The 22,726-nt window shown below is 45.3% G+C and overlaps 1 protein-coding gene across 31 annotated transcripts in view, besides 1 other annotated feature; it reads left to right on the top strand.

Moving 5' to 3' along the window:
• MTSS1 (MTSS I-BAR domain containing 1) overlaps positions 1-22,726 on the top strand; it is a 177,690-nt gene that overhangs the window by 58,322 nt on the left and 96,642 nt on the right. The gene's annotated exons all lie outside the window — the stretch shown is intronic.
• Positions 1,510-1,804: a silencer, noted in NCBI's record as "tiled region #2678; K562 Repressive non-DNase unmatched - State 23:Low". NCBI's record gives its function as "represses a minimal TATA promoter and a strong SV40 promoter by Sharpr-MPRA in K562 cells {active_cell/tissue: K562}" and the evidence as "EXISTENCE:reporter gene assay evidence [ECO:0000049][PMID:27701403]".

The following is a 22,726-nucleotide window of genomic DNA, read 5'->3' as shown; positions in this document are numbered from 1 at the left end:
TTATCCTTTCTGTTCCTTGGCAGTGTTTTATGGCACTTAGAATTCTATGAAATTCTTATTTGTTTTCATGACCTGTTTTGCCTGTTTCCACCCTCCCACTAGCATGTAGGCTCCATGAGGGCAGCACTTTGTCTTGTGTTCTCTGTATCCACAGTACCTGGCGCTCAGTAAATATTTATTGAGTGAATGAAATGAATAAGAAGTTTACATGAATGAATGTTAAAATAGCCTGTGCTTGCAGACACATCCTACTGCAGAGATATTTGGATGCTATTAGTAGAGCAGGAGCAAGACGCGCGTACCATCTGCCTTTATCTAGTGTAGGGAGATTCCTCTAGTGTTCTGTAGCTATCCACTTTCTTTTACCAGTACTAAACTCAAAAGAGTAAACATTAACTTTGCTTAGCCAAATGAAACCAGCAGATTTTAGCACATGATCTATAAAGGTCATTGCTTTGCTTTGTGTCCCTGAATGTATATAGACAAAGACACTGAATGTTAGTAGAAAGCAGCCAGAAATATGTAGGTCACTGTCTTTGACTCATTTTTGGCTGGAACCTTCTGCAGTGGTCCTACAAAACAAACCCCAAAATAAACAAAACTACCTTCAATATATTCACTAGCCAGCTCTCTTGTTTGCCCCAAGTCCAAGAAATCTGGCCTTCATCTAAAGGAACTGTTTTCTTACTTAGGATGTCAATCATTAAAAGTGTTCATTTCATGTTTGGAGTGAGCTGTACTGTAAATGCTGGGCTGTGTGGTTGTATCAGTTTGTGCAAACAGTAGGAGCCAAGGACGTTTTATTCACCCCTGAGTTAGCATCATTTGTCACACTATCTCAGCGGAGCGAGACGGTGGACACCTACACAGTTTCTCAGGCTGTGCTTTCTACTAATTGTTTGTTTAATTAGAAAATGAGTAATTATTTATCCAGAAAATAGAATCCAAAACCGTGGGGCTGAAATCTTCTCTAATTGCACCATGTGATCATGCTTTTCTGAGGATTGTATTTTTGGTGTGTGTAGGTGGTAGGGGAGTCTTATTTTGTGGCTGGTGTTTACTGAGAGATCCATCTTTTGCTCAGCACCTCAAGTGGAACAAAATGAAGTCAGTGGCAATCAACCTGCTTTGTAAAAAAGTTTAAAAGCCAGGTACAATCAGAATATCTGTCTAAACAGTGAGGTTTGTATTCATTCAATAGCTTTGGGGACCTGCTACATGTAGGACATCATTGAAGGTAAACTAATGTGTGGGAAAGGGCCCCTGTGTACAAGAAGGTGGTAATGGTGGTTTGCACTTCACGGGAACAAAGGGAGTCAAACCTTGACAAGCTTTGTGGAATTTGCTGGGCAAAAGCTTGTTTGGGGTGAGATCCTGTCGATATAGCTAAGAATGGAGTTTGGGTTCTGGGTATAGGTCAGCTTTTTGATGGGTGACCAAACACACTGAGGTCTTCATTGTGGCTAACTGCTGATGCCGTTTCATCTTTCTTTTCTGGTCCCGTTCAGAGGTATGAATTTTCCCTTCCTAATAGCCGAGTCTGGCATGCTGTCGAAGAGTGTCACGGGTAGGTGCTAAGTTGACCTTGTAGGTCTGTTTTCCATCCTGACACAAAGGGGCTACTGGGAAGTTTTTAGCCAGCTATGATGACAGGGAGGGAGGAGTTCACCTGTGGACCTGGTAGGGGCATGAACGAGAAAGGCGGGTTTTCAAACGGAGCTAGGACAGGATGAATTCCTGCCGTAGATGTGAGCTGAGGTATGGAAACCTGGCTTTGTCTGTCTGTTGGATGAAGCAGATCTGGTGACACCTCCTGTCCACAGCATCACTCTCCATGAACACACATTGGTAGGGTTAGGGCCTGAACAAAACATGCCTAACAAGACAGGGCACGTGGAACTGATTGTGCCTGTGAGAAAACAAAAAGCGAATCACCACCTTCCTACAGCCCACACGTGTGGCCGCTTGCGCTGTGTCCTCCTCAGTTGCTGGCCGGGCCTGTTGGCATCTTGGTTTTAGAGCCCAGCGGTGGAGGTGAAAGCCTTGGAGACTTTTTTTGTTTTTGTTTTGAGACAGGGTGGCGTCCCCCAGGCTGGAGTGCAGTGGCGCGATCATGGCTCACTGCAGCCTTGACCCTCTGAACTCAGGTGATCTTCCCACCTCAGTGGTCCCCCAGACCCCTGCCCTAGTAGCTGGGACTACAGGCCCACACCACCATGTCTGGCTAATTTTTTTTTATAGAGAAAGGGTCTCGCCATATTGCCCAGGCTGGTCTTGAACTCCTGGGCTCAAGCAATCCTCCCACCCTGGCCTCCCAAAGTGTTGGGATTATAGGTGTGAGCCACTGTGCCTGGCCGCTTGGAGACTTTGAATCTTAGCTCGGAGTGCAGTAGCTGTGTGACCTTGCCAACTGCAGATGCTTTTTAAGTCCCAGTTTCCTCACATGTCTGAAATGATAATAATACCTCCTCCCGGAGTTGTTGTTATTTATTTATTTTTTATTTTTTGAGACGGAGTTTCGCTTCTGTTGCCCAGGCTGGAGTGCAATGGTGTGATCTCAGCTCACCACAACCTTTGCTTCCCGGGTTCAAGCAATTCTCCTGCCTCAGCCTCCTGAGTAGCTGGGATTACAGGCATGCACCACCATGCCCGGCTAATTTTGTATTTTTAGTAGAGATGGGGTTTATCCATGTTGGTCAGGATGGTCTCAAACTCCCAACCTCAGGTGATCCACCCGCCTCGGCCTCCCGAAGTGCTGGGATTACAGGCATGAGCCACCACGCCCGGCCTATTGTTATTTTTTTTTTGTGGTAAAATATATGTAACATCAAAGTTACCATTTTAACCATTTCTGTCTTGGCCTTCTCTCAGAAACATGTCGCGCTTTCACAGTTGCCCTGAGAGGGTGCCAGAATCCATGCACAGCCCCAGGCCTGGTCCCCTGGTGAGCTCTGCATCCTCTGGGGAGAGCGCCTCCCCATGAGGGTCATGCCTTCTCCTCAAACTCACCATCTCAAATCAAATCCTAAGATGGGGGGAAACCCAGGGCGTGGCCATCTCCTCTCCCCTCCACCTGAATCCCAGCCTGCTTCTTAGATCTGTTCTTCTTTTCTTTTTATATAACTAGTGAGACTAGATTTGTCTTGGGTTCATTTGAACCTTTCCCTGCTTCTTAAATGGGAATTTTAATTTCTGTCCTTATTCCCGCTGGCTTCTTCAACTCTCCCCCTAAACTCCTCCATTGACCTCCTCCTCTCCCTACTGCTGATGGATTTTCTTTCCTTAGTTCAGATCTGATCACCCCTCTTCCCTCTTTGAAAACTCCCCAGGACCCCCATTAATGGTCACATGATAAAGCTCACTATCTGCCAACTGGTATGCTAACCCTCGGCCAGCTGGGCTCACTCTGCGCTGATGACCCCTCCTCATTCTCCCTCCACCCTCCCTATCCCATGACCAACACCCTATCACAGGGGCCCTTCATCTTTTTGGACCTCAGACCCCTTCAAGGAACAGACAGCTATGGACTGCCTCCCTAGAAAGGTACATAGTCACTCAGTTTTCCATTCAGTTTCAAGGGGTCTGTGGATCCCGGTGGCGAACTTAGCCGGATGCCCATGCTAGACCATGCATTCTAAGCCTCTTTGTCGTGGCTTGTGCCATTTTCTCTTATATCTTTGTTCCTTTGTCTTTGTTCCTGTGTTTCCATCAGTATTTTTCTTCAGTGCACTTTCCTGTCAGAGTTAATTTTTCCCTCTATCGTGCTTGTACAGCACATTACCAGAACATCTATTTAGCATTTGTATTAGAGTTGATAGTTTGCATGGCTGCCTTGCCCTTGTGTTCCTGAGCACAGTGCCTTGCATGTGTTATACACACAGTCATGTGTCCATTTATTCATTGATTCAACAGTTTCTTAAGCTCTTGTGAGCTAGCCACAGTGCTTGTCCTGGGGCTGTGCTAGGAAATATGATCCAGTCCCCACCCCAGGGAGATCAGTTTAATGGAGACTGTAAACAGATAAGCAGAATGTTATCATGCAGTGAGACTATTGAACATTTACTGTGTGCTGGGTGCTAATGAGCACATTGTATTAATATGTGTGTTGTCTCTGAATTCTCACAACAGCTTTGTGAAATAGGGTCTAATATTTTATGGATGAAACAATGGAGACCACAGCTAGGTTAAGTAACTTGCCCAAAATCGTGAGACTCATCAGCAGTAGAGTGGAACTTCAACACTGTAGACTGTCTCTGGGGGCCAGATTTTTTTTTTTTTTTTTTTGAGAAGGAGTTTCACTCGTATTGCCCAGGCTGGAGTGCAATGGCACAATCTCAGCTCACCACAACCTCCGCCTCCGGGGTTCAAGTGATTCTCCTGCCTCAGCCTCCTGAGTAGCTTGGATTACAGGCATGCGCCACCACGCCTGGCTAATTTTGTATTTTTAGTAGAGACGGGGTTTCTCCATGTTGGTCAGGATGGTCTCGAACTCCCAACCTCAGGTGATCCACCCGCCTCGGCCTCCCAAAGTGCTGGGATTACAGGCATGAGCCACTGTGCCCGGCCTTGGGGGCCAGATTTTTTTTATAGCTAGGCTGTCTGAGATCAGCCTGGCCAAGCCAGGGCCCTGTGAGAGGCCAGGAGAAAGAAGAGAGGAGAAAAGCCAGGTGGAAATCACCAAAGTCTTCCTGGAAGAGTATGAAGAATTGGGATGAAGACAAAGTAACCAGGGGCCCAAAGGTGAGACTGAGCGAGTGGGTGAACTGTGGATGAAATGTTACGAACTCAGGTCTGCGGAGATGGAAAAAGGAGAGAAGGCAGTGCCCACGGAATGAATCGAAGAGAAAAATAGAATTAGTCACTGAACAGATTATCGAATTGAGCAAATCTTTAAAGAATTCCAAAGATAGAAATGTCTTGGACACAGCAGGACTAATTTTTGTTTCAACATTGGAAGGCAGCCCTGCTTCTTATTATAGACATGTTCAAATAGTTTAAGTGCTGGTTACTGACCAGATTATCTGGTACAAACATTTATATTACAGCAAGTTACTTACCCTCTCCAAGCTTAGTGTTCATATGAATAAGATGGGGATAAAAAAAATGCTTATTTCCTCAAATCCAAGAACTATCAATTTAGTTGTACCTTTAGTTTATGTAGCACTAAGGAAAAAAAAAATCCTGCCAACTAAAATATGAAATGCCTTTCAGAGTTGTTAACATGTCGGGGGGAAAGAATGAACTGTAAAATGGATTCTAGGATTGGTCTTAGAAACAATGAAATAGAATAGTCTACTTCCTAGTGTTACTGTGAACAGTGCCAGATGTGTAGCAGTTGCTCACTGTATTTGATGATGAGGATGGTGGTGGTGACGGTGGTAGTGTTTGTGTAGAAGGAAACAGGCCTGGAGGCTGAAGCAACTATGACTTGATGTAAGCAAAAGCTACTAGTCAAGTGCTCTCGTTGCGGATTTTGCTATTTTAGAGTAGAGGGGTCTCCTGACACACAAGAGCCCTGTTGCCTGCAATTCTATGTTACCAGAGGCTGTGAGTGTGTATGCTTTTAGGTATAATATGACCAAGTGGTCATATGCCTATTTAAAACCTAAGGGGAAATGAAGGGCTCAATTTTAGAGTGTGGCTTCTAATCTTGTGTGCTCCTAAACTCTGGTCTACATACTCCCAACGATTAAAGAGACATTTTGCAACCTGAAATGGTTGGGTTCAGACTAGAATGCTTGGGTGCTACCAAATTAAAGGCCAGTAGGAAGCTACTTGGAGAAGCAGCCTCTGGCACTGTGGTAGAGGAGCATTTATCTAGAGACGGGCCTCGCTGGAAGGAGATAGCCACGCCTGTGTCTCAGGAGACTTTAATTAGGGCCATTGGCTTGGCTGCCCCATGATGACAGGTTGAACTTACGCCTGTGGTTCTAAGTCATGAAACCACCCCTGGGAACAGCCCAGCAGAACCATGGGTGGCACCTCCAAGGACTGGAGAGGGGGTAGCCCTGCAGGCGCTGGCTTCTGCCTGCTGGCTTCCAGCTGCTCCCTCCTGGGGTTCCCCACCTGGACCTCACCTGCTTCTCCTGCTGAAGTGTCTTCTCACCGACCTGGGCACAGGTTACTTCTGTGCTGTGCTTTGCTTTATTTCTCCTTTGTCTGCAGACACCACTGGGCCAGCACCAGTCCATCCCGGGTTTTTAGACTCGAACTGAGGTGTCATCTCCTGAGGAGCCCCTGTGATCTGCGCTCCTCTCTGTGCTCCGTGATGCCCTAGGCTTCTCTCTGTCATGGCGTTTCCTGTCCTAACTTTCTGTCTATGTGTGTGTCTCTGCCCTCCTTGAGGAATGGGACCACGTCTTACTCATCTTTGTATTCACTGTGCTTTTCCTGTAGGAGGCCATTTACAAAAGGACACGGGAATGGACAGAGGGGCAAAATATCGAAAGCTGATATTTGGAGGGTCTGCAGAGGAGGTGGGAGGAGGATGGCTTTTCTAAGTATCCTCAGGAATAAGGAGCCACATATGCAGGGGAGCCAAGAAAGGGAAAAGGAAAATTTACAGAATCTATTGCTTTAAAGAGTGTGGGGAGAAAGGGGAGGTGGGACGGTTCTACTCTTGACCTTGGTGGGAGCATGGATTGGGCGGGTGGGGGTTCTGGGCTGATGATGCATGCCAAAGCTGGGTTTCCTAACTGGCCTCAGAGGCTTCCGATTTGAGGAAGGGGGATGGGAGGGCCGAGTGAGCACAGGGGTTGGTGGTTTTCCTCCCCTTCAGAGGACACGTGTCCTTGGCTTCATTTGTAGGTCTTTGCCAAGGTGTCTATGGGAAGCCTCCTTGAGCAAAGGGGCTCCAAGGCTGTGGACGTGTGTGTCTGTCAGTCTGTCTGTCTGTCTGTCTTAGCATGAGGTTTAGCAGGCAGCCTCAGGAAAAACTTACAGCCCGAAAGGGAGTGTCTGGCCATGCTGCTGGCACTCCCTCTTTTCCTAGAGACACGTGTGCAGGTGTCTGAGTGCAGGCTAAGTACAAGTTGCCCATTTCGGCTCCAGAACCCAGCCAGGCAGCTGTTGGCATAGCATCCCTGAGGGAGGTTTCAGCGTTGGGTGGGGAGTGGGGCCCAGATACTGATATCCAGTGTTCTCACCTGGCTAAAGGAGAGCAGCTGCCCCTTGGTTACCTGGAGAAAACAATCAGGAAAGGCTCGTGGTCACGTCTCGGTCCCTTGGATCATTAGGTAGTTGCCCTTGATTTCCGTGAGCTTTATCTGACTGCAAGGGTACATTACACGGTCCCCTTGGATACCACGACAATTGTACCTGGTCTGTTTCCTCCCAAGAATTTTGGAGGACTTTAAAATTTAACCCGTGGGAGGGCAGGGAGGGAAGTCTTGGTACTTACAAATAAAAAAGCATTACTGCCTTATTCTCCCACCCCCTCCCCCAATATTTACAAATATAATAAATAATAGCTTTCGTTTACTCTCTAGAGCAGGGGCTCTTCAATGTGGGAGTTTACCTCAGAATCACTTGGGTAGCTGTTTGACAGTACGTATGTCTAGACCCTGTCTTCAGAGGGTGCGTCAGGAGGCCTGGGGCAGAGCCCGGATCCTGAGTATTGGGGAAAGGCTCTCCAGGTAATTGTGATGGACACCCTAGACAGAGAACCACTGTGTTAGATGGAAAAGCTTCCTGGTGGCAGAGACTGAGGCCTCTCTTGGTGTCCTGTGCTGTGTATGGCATACAGTATTTTTTTTATTCAGAAGTATTTATTGAACATCTACTATGTGCCGGGCCCTGGAATACATTCGTATCACTGTTCTTGGTGCTCCTAGAGCCCTGGCGGAGGGGCCCTAATTGTGTTGGATGCCAAGAAACCAGATAGGCAGCTTCTATTCATTCTCAGTTGTCATTGGATTATGGTCTTCCTGAGTGGTGTGAGGTAGGCACCCGGAATTATAGCGTTGACGTTGTCCTCTTTCCCAAAAATTGAACATAGCTCACCAAGCAGGGGCCCCTGGAACGTTGTAGCACATGCGATCAATAGATCTAACATGCCACCCCTGCCTTTCCCATTAACTTTCAGGCTAAAGAGCTGAGCTTGGGACAAGACTGGGCTGGATCATTTCCCTTTCTCTTTAATCTAAAAAGAACCTGAAGCTGGCTACTTCCTTGGTGTTCATGGATGGGTGAGAGCCATCTTGAGCCTCTCCTATCTGCTAGACACAAAGGACGTGAAGATGAATGGAGCATGGCCCTCATACTTTACAAATATCATAGTCTAAGGGGAGTCAGAAATGCAGACAGATGTGGGCCGTACAGTGTGACAGGTCCTGAATGTATGCTGAGCAAACTGTGAACAGGCTGTCGCAGCTATGGTGAGTTGTGGGAAAGAGGGGAATCCTTTATGGGACAGTGCTGATTGGACTTCCCAGGTTCCTCCCTAGCCCCGGCCTTTGAGGGGTGGTGTTTGTAGCGGGTGGCTGACCAGGAAGGAAGCCTTACCACCCCTCACCTGGGCTGAGGAGGCTCTGCTTCGTGCCTCTCCCAGCAGTGTCTGCACCTTTGGCGTGGCTAGGACTCCACTACCTGACCCTGTGGCCTGTCCAGTTTTCAAGCTGATGGTCACACGTATCTTCCCAGCTGCGGGGCTCCTTTTGTGTTCACCTGAGACAATCGTAGCTTCTGTTTCTAAGAGCTAGTGCTTTGATCATGTTTTCATCAGAAAAACATGGTTCATGAACTTGCTCTTTGTCTAGATCCTGTAATAATCAGGTTGTGCAGGCATGAATTGTTAGTAAAAATTCATCAGTTTACAGAAAAAAAAAAAACCTAGAAGAAAATAAAGGGACACGTCTAACATTGGTGTTGTTTCTGGGTAGTGCGTGTATGGGGACCATTTTCCTAAGGTTTTTACTTTTCAGGTTATCCTTTCATTTTGGAAAAAGACGATAAATATTATTTCTTAAAACCTACATGTGTTGGTGAGCTGTTGTTACTGAAACCCTTTCCTCCAAGGATGAAGGTTCTGAATGATAAACTTTTTAATGATCACACTCATCCCACTGCCCTCTGGCATCTTATTGGTGGCTGGGTCTGGTTTTACTTTTCACTGAATGTTCCATTTTCTCTGTTGATTGACGATGGCCTCAGGGCCAAGAGGTGACTACTGTCAGAGGATACAGTGTGAACCAAATTGTGCGTGTGTGTACGTGTGCGTGGGAGGGTGTGTATGTGTGTTCCACTCGGACCTTGGGGCACAAGTCCCTCATCCTTTGCTCTTGTGGGAAGACACTGGACCAGGCTGCTTAGTATAGAGGAGAACCAGAGTATCACAGGGCACCCAGGAGGAAGAGAGGCATGGGAGAGTTGAGGGGCATTTCCATACTGCACTAGCATGAAAGCTGTACCACATTCAGAATTTTAGAACACTGATATCATGTGCATTTAGAACAAGCTTCGTAGAAATATTGTGGCTGCTCTGATTCCTCCACTAAGCCAGAGCCTCATATTTGGTGTGTAGTGGGAGGCATCTCAGCCCCAGCAAGTGGGAGGGAGGGTTAATGCTCTAAACAAGGAACTTCCTCTTCTGTTGGAGGCGTGGGTTAGTGATCTGTGCTGTTGTGTGGGAAGCCTTGTTGATTTATCCCCTTGATCTTGCCTCCACCCTTCAGCTTGAGGGTGTGTGTGTGTGTGTGTGTGTGTGTGTGTGTGTGTGTGTGCATGCGCATGGGCAACTTTCTAAATACCAAAATATACATTCTAATTATAAACTAGTGCCATTCGTTCCTTGCCCCCACCCTCCCTTGTTTACTTTCTTTTGGTTAAAGTGCTGCTTCTTTCGAAGGGCCCCTGTTTCTGTGGCACAGCCTATTCCAGATCACTCAAACGGTTGTTTGTGCTTTTCTGATTCCTAACTCTGGGCTGCCGAATGCTTTTTCATCTCCTACAATTGAGCTCAGAGCCAGAGAAGGGCTTTTGAAGGTTCATTTCTGAAATGTACACATGTGTACTGTCTTGAAGTCCAAGCATATCCTCGGGACAGCTGTGTGGCTTTGAGATCTACTCAGAGTGGCCATCCTACCTGCCATGTTTCTGGGGGGTGGTACTTTTCAGTATGTGAAAAGAGACTGCTTCTAATACTCTATGGCTCTTATTCAAGTTCAAGTTCCATGGGAACTGAATCACAAGGTCTGGTTTTAGGAGTAAGAGAGAGAGTCAGGAAGAGATGATTCCTTACCATTTTGTGTGCATGTATTTATTTCTATTTAGTTGTTGTATTTGGACTCTAATTCTGGGTTGGGATAGCCCTCACTGCCTGAAGTAATTGCTTCTTAGAAATAGCCACTGCATTTGTTGCTATCTTCATGTTACCCAGGTGGGAGCGGAGCGGCCCAGGTGTTGTCCCATCAATGCACTTGAGTAGAGAATCCAGGATGAATGCTAGGCACATTACATGGTCCCCTTGGATGTGACAACAATCATATCTGGTCTGTTTCCTCCTAAGAATTTCTGAGGACTTTAAAATTTAACCAGTGGGACCAGTACAGTTTAAATGTATTAGCTGCTTGCCAGTAGGAGCCAAATCATAATTCTTAGCCTTTAATCTCCTGAGAAATGAGCTGAGCAGCGCCATGTGATTTTTAGGTAGCTTTTCTGGAATTAGACTAGAGTGGCCATTCATGTGTTTCAATCTAAGTGTTTCACTTTAAAGGGCGACCTTCCTAAATATTATCAGCTAAAGGCATACCCTATATACACATGATTCCCGAGATGCAAGTCACAGAAATAGATTGAGTGTCATGGAGAAAAACTTAATAAACTATAAATTCTCAGATACACAGAATGTGAACTGTTAAATTACTATGGTAATTGATACCATTTAGCTATTATTATTTAATTATTTAAAGTCCCCTCATTCTTCTAAACAGGGCAGAAGGGTACTTTAATAATGCACTTTTTATTGTGCATTATTCATTTCATCGAATCATCCATGATTCTGGTTATATCTCAGGTTCTTAACTAGTGTTGAGTTCTTGTAAAGGAATTGCTTACTGAGTTCAGTTGGCAGGTTAATATTAAGAGGTATCCTCTAAAACAAAGTTCAAAATTGCTGGGGTTTGTTCAGATTCATTTGAAATAATGCAAAGATTACAGCAAGCTTTATAAAATGAAAATTAGTTGAGGCTCCTAAAAGAAAAGCCCGTAGCCTGGATGGTGCAAACAACAGAAATTTACTTCTCACAACTTTGGAGGCTGGGAAGTCCAAGATCGAGGTGCTGGCTAATATGATCTGGATCTGTGTCCCTGCCCAAATCTCATGTTGAATTGTAATCCCCAGTGTTGGAGATGGGGCCTGGTGAGAGGTGATTGGACTGTGGGGGTGGATTTCCCCCTTGGCGCTTTGCTGCTGTTCTGGTTGATGGTGAGTGAGTTCTCAGGAGCTCTGGTTGTTTAGAAGTGTGTGGCACCTCCCCCTTCTGTCTCTCCCTCCTGCTTCAGCCATGTGAAGCTCCTAGCTCCCTCTTTGCATTCTGCCATGAGTAAACATTCCCTGAGACCTCCCCAGAAGCAGAAGCTGCCGTGCTTCCTGTACAGCCTGTGGAACTGCACAATTAAACCTCTTTTCTTTATAAATTATCCAATGTGTTAGTCCATTTTCATGCTGCTGATAAAAGACATACCCGAGATTGGGTAATTTATAAAGAAAAAGAGGTTTAATGGACTCAGTTCCACGTGGCTGGGGAGGCCTCACAATCATGGTAGAAGATGAAAGGCACTTCTTACATGGTGGCAGGCAAGAGAGAATGAGAGCCAAGCGAGAACGGAAACCCCATATCAAAACATCAGACCTCATGAGTCTTATTCACTATCGTGATAACAGTATAGGGGAAACCACCCCCATGATTCAGTTACCTCCCACCTGGTCCTTCCCACAATACATGGGAATTATGAGAGCTACAATTCAAGATGAGATTTGGGCGGGGATGGAGCCAAATCATATCACCCAGTCTCAAGTATTTCTTTATAGCAGTGTGAGAACAGACTAATACACTGTTTCATTTGGCTCCTGGTGAGGGCCCTCTTCCTGGTTTGTAGACAGCTGCTTTCTTGCTATATCCTCACGTGGTGGAGGGAGAGATCATCATTCTCATGTCTTTTCTTATAAGTGCACTAATCCCATTTGTGAAGGTTCCACTCTCATGACCTAATTACCTCCCAAAGGCTCACCTCTAAATACCATCACAGTGGAGATTAGGATTTCAACATGAGAATTTTGGGGGAGGACACAAACACTTAGTCCACAGTAGATGGAATGGGACTTCATTTTATAAAGCTTGCTGTAATTTAACAGCTTGAAATGGGCCAATAATGGGTATGTGAGCTGAGAGCCTCATGCTTTTTGTAGGGAGGTAGGTGCCTGGGGGCACTGTGTATCATCAGAAGGTCCCTGTATCCTGGTTAAATTTGGACTTGGTAAGGACCGTGTGAACGTGCTCTTGTCCATGATGTATGCGCAGTGGGCTTGGAGCTGACCCCAGAACCGTCTCTGTCACAGTGTTGCTGGTGAGTCTTCATGTCATGCCCTCTATTTCTGCTCAGTGCAGAGGAAAGTAACTTCTGTTCACACCCATATGTGACTAAGTAGTGTGTGTCCTCTTCTTTTTTTTTTTTTTTTGCTGACTCTGCCTTTAATAACACATGTGTTGAGAAAAAAGGAAAAAACTTTCCATTCCATGTTTTGTGGCTTCATTTTCAACACTTTATTATGGGAAGTTTTAAACACACACACAAAAAAGACAATACTATGATGAACCCCCACTTACCCCATTACGCAGCTTCAGTAACCATCAACTTTCTGCTGTTCTTATTTTCAGACATGTTGCCCCCCAGCCCAACCCCTTTTTGTGTCCTGCAGTATTGTAAAGCAAAGTGCAGGCATTTAGTATTTCACCCATATACGTGGATGCATGGACTCTGCTAATAGATTAGGCCTAAAAACAACAACAAGACCAACCCATAACCACAATACCATTACCACTTCTAACAAAATTAACAATCATTCATTCACATCATTAGTCTAGATTCCATTTTCCCAGTTGACTCAAATGTCTTGCATTTAGTTCATATGTTCCTTTAATTTAGTCTAATTTATTACAGCCTTCCTGTTTTCGTAAAAATGCCATTTACTGGTCCTTTGTCCTGTAGAATTTTCTGCATTCTGGACTTGGTTGGTTGTACTCTCATAGTATCATTTAACAGCTTCCTCTATCCCCATGTTGCCTGCAGTTGGAATACTTCAGGGGTGGCTCTGAAGGAGCAACTCCATTTTTTTTTCCTTTTTTTCTTTTTTCTTTTTTTTTTTTTTTTTTGAGATGGAGTCTCACTCACTCTTTTGCCCAGCCTGGAATGCAGTGGTGTGACCTTGGCTCACTGCAACCTCTACCACCTGGGTTCAAGCAATTCTCCTGCCTCAGCCTCCTGAGTAGTTGGGACTGCAGGCATTCACCACCACACCTGGCTAATTTTTGTATTAATATTTTTAGTAGAGACAGGGTTTCACCATGTTGGCCAGGCTGGTCTTGAACTCCTGACCTCAAGTGATCTGCCTGTCATAGCTTCCCAAAGTGCTGGGATTACAGGCGTGAGCCACTGTGCCCAGCCTTCATTTTCATTTAAAAAAAAAAAAAAAGGTCCTGGCTCATTGTCCTTTTGGTAGCAATTTAGAGAGATCGTACTTTTTACTCAAATGCCTTGACACTTTTGTGTGCTTGTTTTCCTCCTATGAATGGATTTAGGCTCATTTAGCTCTCTTAAGAACTTTATTTTGCAAGCTGGTCTCCCTAGCTCTACACCTGTCCTCCTTGCCAGTTCAGCCTTTATTCCATAGCTGATTTTCTCTTCCTAAAGGAAAGAGTTGGTTTTGAGTTCAAGTATGCTAGCCCCACTACTTAAGCTGTGTAATGTTGGACAAGTTAGTGAGTCTGAGTTTCTTCTCCTGAAAAACGGGGATCTATCTCTTAAGATAAAGGAGATAGGAAATTCAATAGTGCATGAAAAGGACTTAACACAGTCAGATTCAATGCTCAAGACACATTAGGTTTTTTTCTCCTTCTGATTATATCATTCCAAGTTCAAAGATTTTATTTTCTTCTGCCTACCAAAGTTCAACCTCCTAAGTAGGTTTTCTTCTTTGAGCATTTCAGCGTTTGTTATACACACATCTTTCCAGCTTCTGTTCCCCTGAACTCTGGACACACTATCCTAGGAACACACTCTTTACTTTACTATGGCCTTTGTCTACAGTTTCCCTCTTGGAATGTGGTTCCCTCTGATCTCTGTCTGATGCTTCAAGGACCAGCTGAGATGCTACCCTTTCTCCCACATCCTCCCATCCCTCTTTCTCTCCCCAATCAGTAAGCAGCCTATTGCTTGGGTTCAGTAGTTCCACAGTGCTTTATATGTGCCACTGTCATTGCACACATCTCTCTCCAACTTGTATTATGGGTGTGGCTGTAAGAGTATTTATCTCCCAGGCAGCTAGTGGTAAAAAGACAGAAAGCTTTCATCTTTATCTTTGACTTTTGCAGAGCAAGTCCGGGCTCCTGCGCATGGCGTGGTGCCAGATGACTATTTGTTGAGTCGTATGGATTCTGATCACTCTCACCTGTGTGGAGGCCACTGTGGCAACCCCTCCCTGTTCTGCTGGGATGAGGAAGGGCGTATCTGACTCTCTGTGCTCTTGGGAACCCCGTGTACCTCCAGGCCTAGCAAGGGGAAGTCTAAACCAAAGATGCCAGAAGTACATTGTCTTTGACCACTAACTGTTGCAACAGAGTCAGCATCTAATGTGTTGTTTCTTAGAGTTATTTGCAATGACTTTGAGAACAAAAGCTCCCCTGGGAGGGTCAGCAGACTTGGTGTGTGCACCAGGCAGGGCTCCTGGCAGGCCTGCCCAGCAGGTCCCCAAGCGTGGGCCTGAGCCCCGACAGCAGTTGCAGCCACAGGGCATCTGCAGTTATCAAAACTCTCATCTGTACATCATTTTCCAATCCGTGTTCTGCTCTGCTGTTTAGGGGGCTAGAGAGCAGAAAAGAGAGGGTGGAAAAGTGCTTCATTTGGGCAGTGGTTTTATGATTAAGAATAGAGTGCCTTTGATATTAAAGCAATATTATTAAATTATTAAATTAGTTAGAAGTTTCGGCATTGGAAAACTAGAGCCCAGTACCCTATTGTGTTACTTTCTAACTTTGTGGCCTTGGGCAAGTTATTGAAATTATCTGAACCTCAGGTGGTTCTTTGCTAAAGTAGACAGAAGATACTTCATAGGGCTGATGAGGAATGTAAGGAAATTTTAAAGGGCTGTGCACGTTGCTTGTAACGTTTACTAATGGGTACATTACATTATGCTTGTCAGATAGTCATGTGAGTTACACCCTCCCTTGTTGGTAACGTGGTTGAGACCTGGAAATGTACGCAGCTGGCCAAGGTCACCTTCTAGTAGCAATTACGCTGGGTTAGGATCAGTGTTGGTGACTTCCTGGTGTTCTTGGCATAAGGATATACATCATACTTCATGTGGTCTAGTATGAACCTTTCAATGTTTATACTTCATGAAACTCTTGTTTTTCTTAAAATTCTCCAGAATTTTGATTGATCATTTCTCCTGATCTTTGAGGAGGGAGGAAGAACTTCTCTGCTATAGAACTCGTTAATATGCCTCACATTTTCAGAAAGTCCTCTCACCGTGGAAAGTGACAGAGGTGGAGAGAGTGGATGGGAACATGTGCTTCTGTGATGCTTTGCGTGCCAGGGAATTGTTTCTTTGCTAATGATCTGTGTCATTAAAATGAACACTGGATGAGCGAAGACGGTGAAACATTTAACTGTAGGTTAATAATTCATTTAGCAAATATTCTAACCTTCAGGATTGTATCAGCAGCTACCATCAGGAGCGCTTCAGGCCTGTCCCTCCTTTCTTTGGAGTCGAGGCTTGAGGAACTTGCTCCTCCCACAGCTACAGGTCAGCGACGATGATACACCTCATTACCCTCGTGTGGGGTAGCAGTAAGACGTTTCCAGAAGCATCCGTCTAGCAGGAGCTCTGGAATGTAAGTAACCCAAGAAGTGGCTGTTCTGTAACTTCTCTGTGATGGAAGTCTGTGATAGGAAGGAGGCCTTTTCCTGCAACCAGGATGTCTAACCGCTTCCTGATGGGCATGGAGGGGATCAGTGAGTTAAAGTTTCCGGCATCTGTTGAATGCGATTTGTGTCTAGTAGTTCTGTCGATTATAGGCATCTCCCAGCAGCCTCAAGGAAAGTCACACATGCTTGTATATCCTAGGGGGAAAAGGGAGATATTTTTATGCAAAGTAAATGTTATGAATCCCTGTTTTATTTTTTTGTGTTTGTTTTGTTTTGTTTTGTTTTGAGATGGAGTCTTGCTCTGTTGCCCAGGCTGGAGCGCACTGGCGCGATCTCGGCTCACTGCAACCTCAGCCTCCCAGGTTCAAGCGATTCTCCTGCCTCAGCCTCCCAAGTAGCTGGGATTACAGACACATGCCACCATGCCCAGCTAATTTTTGTATTTTTAGTAGAGATGGGGTTTCACCATGTTGGTCAGGCTGGTCTCGAATTCCTGGCTTCAGGTGATCCACCCGCCTTGGCCTCCCAAAGTGCTGGGATTACAGGTGTGAGCCACCATGCCCGGCTTGTTTTTTATAAGTTAGCAAATATGATCTTTTCTCTGGTGATATGCCAACATAGTTGTAATGAATAAAATGTTACAGAAGACATAACATATGAAAAGTTATTAGCTAACTATTTTATTTCAATGTGATGGACTAAACCACACACTGCATTTAGGCATAACTTTGAGCTGATGACTTCCTGTACTGTCCCCAACCAATTGTCACCCCTCAGAGGGCTGCCACACTACCCTCTTGTTGGCACAGGAATTGGTTGGTCTGGGCTTTTAAAATCAGATTCATCTTTCTGAATTCCTTCCTCAGTTTCTTTCCCATCTGCCTAGCTCCTGTGCCCCATCCGGGCATTCCAGGCCAACCCCCAAGTGTCTGGCCACGGAAGTGAATATGTTTGGGATTTAAATCATCAGTTGCCTTTGAAAGTCACGCTGCAATAGACAGATAACTTGGAATGCAGGTGAGGCAGAGAATTCACTGCCATCAAGTCGCAGTGTAAATAAGATCACAGAGGTGATGATAACCTTTCACGGGTTGATGATAGGTTAATGAAAAAAGAACTTCAGAGCATTTTAGGTGGATATTCGTTAAAGCAGACTCAGTGGGATCACTCTTTAGAGTTGCTCTTGATGGCTGTGTTTTTTTTTTTTTTTTTTTGAGACGGAGTCTCGCTCTGTCGCCCAGGCTGGAGTGCAATGGCACGATCTCGGCTCACTGAAACCTCCGCTTCCCGGGTTCAAGTGATTCTCCTGCCTCAGCCTCCCAAGTAACTGGGATTATAGGCACCTGCCACCATGCCCAGATAATTTTTATATTTTTAGTAGAGACGGGGTTTCACCAGGTCGGCCAGGCTGGTCTCCAAATCTTCACCTGTTTCTTTTTACGTGACTGTGGCCTTTAGAAATTTTTAAACGACTCATGTGGCTTACATTGTGGCTTGTTTTGTATTTCTGTTGGGTATTGTTAATGTATAGAAGACATTCCTCGGCTGGGCATGGTGGCTCATTCCTGTAATCCTAGCACTTTGGGAGGCTGAGGCAGATGGCTCACCTGAGGTCAGGAGTTTGAGACCAGCCTGGCCAACATGGTGAAACCCTGTCTCTACAAAAAATTAGCCAGGCATGGTGGCATGCACCTGTAGTCCCAGCTACTCGGGAGGCTGAGGCAGGAGAATCACTTGAACCTGGGAGGCAGAGGTTGCAGTGAGCCAAGATTGTGCCATTGCACTCCAGCCTGGGCAACAGAGCAAGACTCCCTCTCAAAATAAATAAAGAAGACATTTCTCTACTGGCTAAGAAGTTGGAATAAATGTTTACCGAGTCCCATCCAATTATTAAACAGCTTATGATTCTTACTAAACAGGGAGGATTAGGAGAAGGGAACCCCTGGGGTGGTTGAAATGGGTGAATCTAGCCAGGAGAAGGTTTCCGAGGGGAGAGGTGGCCTTGGAACTGAGTTTTGAAGTTGGAGACTGAAAATCCTTTAGGGAGAAGAAAATTGACACAACCGGGCTTTCTGACAGACAAGGACTGGCCCACCCCTGCCTCTAAGGAACCCTGGGGTCTGGGAGAGGACCCAAAAGCCTTCTTCTAGGGGAGCACGCCTGGCAGCTCTGAGATATGAAAGAGAGAACCCAGCAAAAACAGGATGTCACTGGGTCCTCGAGTCTGGGGATCAGGGTAACCCAGGCTCAGTGAATTTTTCTGTCTCTGAGCCCCTCAGATGAATTAGCGAGTTCTTCAGGGAGGGTCTTTTTCTCCATGGCTGGTACTGTCTGACTGGGTGGAGACTTATGTCCCAGGAAAACCGAAATAACTGCTTTTCTTGCAAATGCTTTCACATAGCTCTTTATCTGGTCTGTGGTTTCAGGGAAGGGCCCTTCTGCAGTCAGGAATTGTCCCCAGCCTTTATTTAGAGGGCTAAGCTAGGGAAATGGTTCTGAATGTAACATGTTTCTAACTGTAGTAATCTATGCCCCTCCCCCCCCACCAAAAAAAAAAAGACCATGTGGACTGTATTTGGTAGCCATAGGTAGGTAGAGCAGTAAAATACAATTTATATGATTGTGCTGTGTGTGCTGTGTATGTCAAAGCATGCTCTTCACACGGCATGTCACGCTCAAGTTCTTGAACTGCCACACGTGACTGCCTGGTGCTATCAGCATACTTTGTGGTATGTTATCAGCTGAAACCAGAAGTCTTTTTGAAAAATGTCATTGTTGCATGGGGCTTTAATACTGAAATCCTAGGAGGTGGCCTTTCTTAGGTCATAATTTTTTAAATTGCTGTAATGCATGTTTAAAGAACGACAGTACACACGAGAAGACAAAAAGTGGCCTGAAGCTTTGGGTGGAAGTCAGGTAGATTTGATTCAGCAAGTAATAGAAGTCAACATTTAATGAACACTTGCTTTGTGCCAAGCACACTGTTGTAAGCACTTTAAATATATTAAGTTATTTAGGTCTCACAACTTTGTATGATAGTTTATTATTTCCATTTCACAGATAAATGAGCTTGGGCACAGAGAGGTAAACTGATGTCCTCAAGGTCAACAGCTACTAGGTGGAGGAGTTGAAATTTGAATCCGGGCCATACACCATTGTTAATCGAGCATTTGTGTTAACTACCAAGTACTTACTGGGCCCTGGGGATGGCTCTGGAGCAGTGGATAAGTCAGATAGCTCCGATCCTTGCTTGCCAAGCCATACCATCATTCTCAGCTTCAGTTTCCCCAACCGTAAAACCAGCACCCAAACCCTGCCCTGCGCACCTGCTAAGATTTGTTTGTTAGGATCAGTTGCATTAATGCAGGAAAATGTGATGTTCGTGCATGGCAGAAGGCTGGGTTGATCAAAGGCTATGCATAGCTTCCATTTGCAAATGTCAGGGGAGATGGGGTAAAAATGGAAGGATCGGAGAGAAGGGCGAGGAAACGCGGCTTCTCTATCTTAGCACGTTCTCAGGATTTGGTTGTGTCAGGTCCCTGCCCTGCGCCATATATGGATGATCTCATTCTTGTCCATCCTGTGTGTTCTGACTGAAGTCACACCTAGCATATGTGGGTGTCAAGTCAGTTGAAGCAACAGGAGTGTGGTTTCACAGCCCTTTAAAACATAAGCTCTTTGGCTGGGCGCGGTGGCTCACGCCTGCAATCCCAGCACTTTGGGAGGCCGAGGCAAGCAGATCATGAGGTCAGGAATTCGAGACCAATCTGGCCAACATGGTGAAACCCCATCTCTACTAAAAATACAAAAATTAGCTGGGCGTGGTGGTGCATACCTGTAATCCCAGGTACTCGGGAGGCTGAGGCAGGAGAATTGCTTGAATCTGGGAGGCGGAGGTTGCAGTGAGCCGAAATTGCACCACTGCACTCCAGCCTGGGTGACAGAGCAAGACTCCATCTCGAGGGAAAAAAAAAAAAAGGCTCTTCAGCGCTTCTGTTGGCCTGTGTGTAGTTTGGCCACTGTCTGGGAATACCTTGTACCAATTGCTGTCTGTTAAAAGGATGAAAGATACAATGTTCGGAGACAGACCCTGGGTGACAATGCTCTTAGTCTTTTCCATATCTAGGAGGCTGCCGTAAGTTTGATAATTGAAAGATTCCAACCTGAAACAGCTCAGTGTTTTTCCCCAAGCACAAGAACATTAAGTCCTGACCTTGTGCCTTTCTATGACTCAACACAGAGAGAGCCTTGCGTCCTTTCTTTTGGTTGTCGTGCTGAGTCTATGATCTTTTCGAGGTCATAGCAGTAGGAACCTTAATGACTGAAGATGAGTATTGCAGGGATTCACATTAGTCCTGTGTTCTTTCTTGAGTAACAGTGGTCAGTAGGGTCATTACCATTAATGGAGCACCTTGAGGAGTAATTTGCCTGTGCCGGGAGCTTTTTGTGTACTCTGTCTTGGCTGACCCTCAAGACAGCCTTGTGAAGTAGGTATTGATGCCTGAATTGTATAGCCAGAGGTGCCAAGGCTCGCCAGGGTCATGTGATTGTCACGAAAGCTGGTCAGGAAGCATAGCTCCCATCTCAGCGCCCCCGACTCCATCGCTGCTCTGTGCTGGGGGTTTGTTCAGGGAAGGGCTGCTTCCTGCTGATAATGATGGACACCTCTCCTTAGAGGTTTCCATGCTTTGTACCACACAGGGAAAACTTTTACTGTGAAAGGCCACACAGTCAATATTTTAGGCTTTGCAGACTACCGTCTCTCTCACAACCACTCAACACTCCCATTGTAGAGCAAAAGCAGCCCTAGATAATAGATAAACAGATGGCCCTGGCTGTCTTTCAATAAAACTTTACTTACAGAAACAGGCAGTGGGCCGGATTTGGCCTGCTGCCATAGTTTGCCAGCTCTTGATTTAGGGTTTGGTCTAAATGGAAATGGTTATTGTTAATACTATTATTTTTGGAAAGTTTATGAAGGATGGCAGGTTGCCCACAACAGATAGAAAGGGAAACTCTCTGTTTTGGAGAAGATTAATCTGGATCCATTCCTACTTGGAGTATGTCTCATAGAGGCTGGATGTTGTAGAGCTCCTTGAGGGTAGTCCCGGGTGGACCCCATAGTACTCGATGAGTGCAGACCTGGGCCCAGTGGGCATTGGATAAAGATGGCATTTTCATCATGGCGTACTGATGGCCTTGTGGTGTCCATCTCACAGCAGTCCCCATGGCCTTGGATTCTCACATTTTCTCACTTACCTTTCCTTGGAACACCGTCTGGTCAGTATCTGGGGGGGGGCTGCTATTTGGGATGAAGACTCTTCCTATAATCCTGAGCCTGAGAGGAGAGAGTAGGGAAACGGCTGGACTTTCTTGGAGTCACTGTGCTTCCCACCAACTTTGATGTGGAGACCCCCAAGCCTTTCCAAGGTAATATATCTCTGGGAAATAGGGCTCCCTTTTACAAATGCTGGCTTTATCCCTCTACTAAGGAGCTGTGATGGGCTGCTTTGGGGGCCTGAGGAGTTAGGGGAGAGAGGGCAAAGTGAGCTTCCAGTGAGACGAAATTCATTGTTGATGTGGTGCTGCTTGGAGGATGTGAGGTTTTCTTAAGCAACTCCTTATTTTGTAGCCCACCCAAAACTTTTGTAACAGAAGAGAGCTAAAGTTAAACTGCACCCAAAGAGTCCATTGTTGGTGTGTTGAAATACTTAAAAAAAAAAATTCAAAAACACTAGGTAATAGTAACAACAAACCCTTTCACCGGATCACTCATCTGCTTCTGAACATCAACTCATAATCTTTGGAGCAACTCTGGTAGCTCCTTGGTATTCTTTTGCCCCAGTTTTTTCCTCTGTTAATAAAAGGCTTTGAAATGCTGGGATGGGGTGAGTCTTGCCACCTCTTGATTTCAGACATTAATAAAGAAGCTGATGGTCCATGCCCACCATAAATAGGATTGCAGAGGCTATAGAGGCTAAATCTGCTTTAGGCCTGCTGGTAAACTGTATTCCCCTTGCTACTCTTGAAACGCTAGGTTGATTGGAGACATTTGTTTTTAAGATTGAGTTCTCTCAGGACATGACCCCACTGTTGGTGATGGGTTGGATCACACAGCCCATGGGGACCTGTAGGTGGCTCCAGAGGTTCTTGTTCGGCCTCTGATTTTAGAGAGTTCTGGATTTTAATGCACATGACTTATACCTTGATCCTGTGTCCTGTTATCAAGGATACGTCTATATAGTCATTCAGGTATTTCAAGGAACTTGAATTGCCTTGCTTATTTTTATAGCTGACGAGCTGTAACAATTGAAGAAGTGAGAAATGATTTAATTCTTTTGAAATGAGCTAAAACATGATGGAAGAAATAGTAATATTTCAACATGCCACACATCTTTTTTTTTATATTAGAACATGCTTTATTGAGGATAAACACTGTTGTTAGCTAAAAGTACAAAGTTTTAGGATGAATAAGTTGTGGAGATCTATTGTATAGCATGGTGACTGTGGTTAATAAGAAGACTTGAAAATCTCTAAGAGATTAGATCTTAAATGCTCTCACTACAAAAAATATCTTAGTCGT

The sequence above is a fragment of the Homo sapiens genome, chromosome 8 (genome assembly GCF_000001405.40).
Source record: "Homo sapiens chromosome 8, GRCh38.p14 Primary Assembly".
Lineage (NCBI taxonomy): Eukaryota > Metazoa > Chordata > Mammalia > Primates > Hominidae > Homo > Homo sapiens.
The sequence above is the reverse complement of the archived record's forward strand: the minus strand, read 5'-3'. Positions and strand labels throughout refer to the sequence as shown.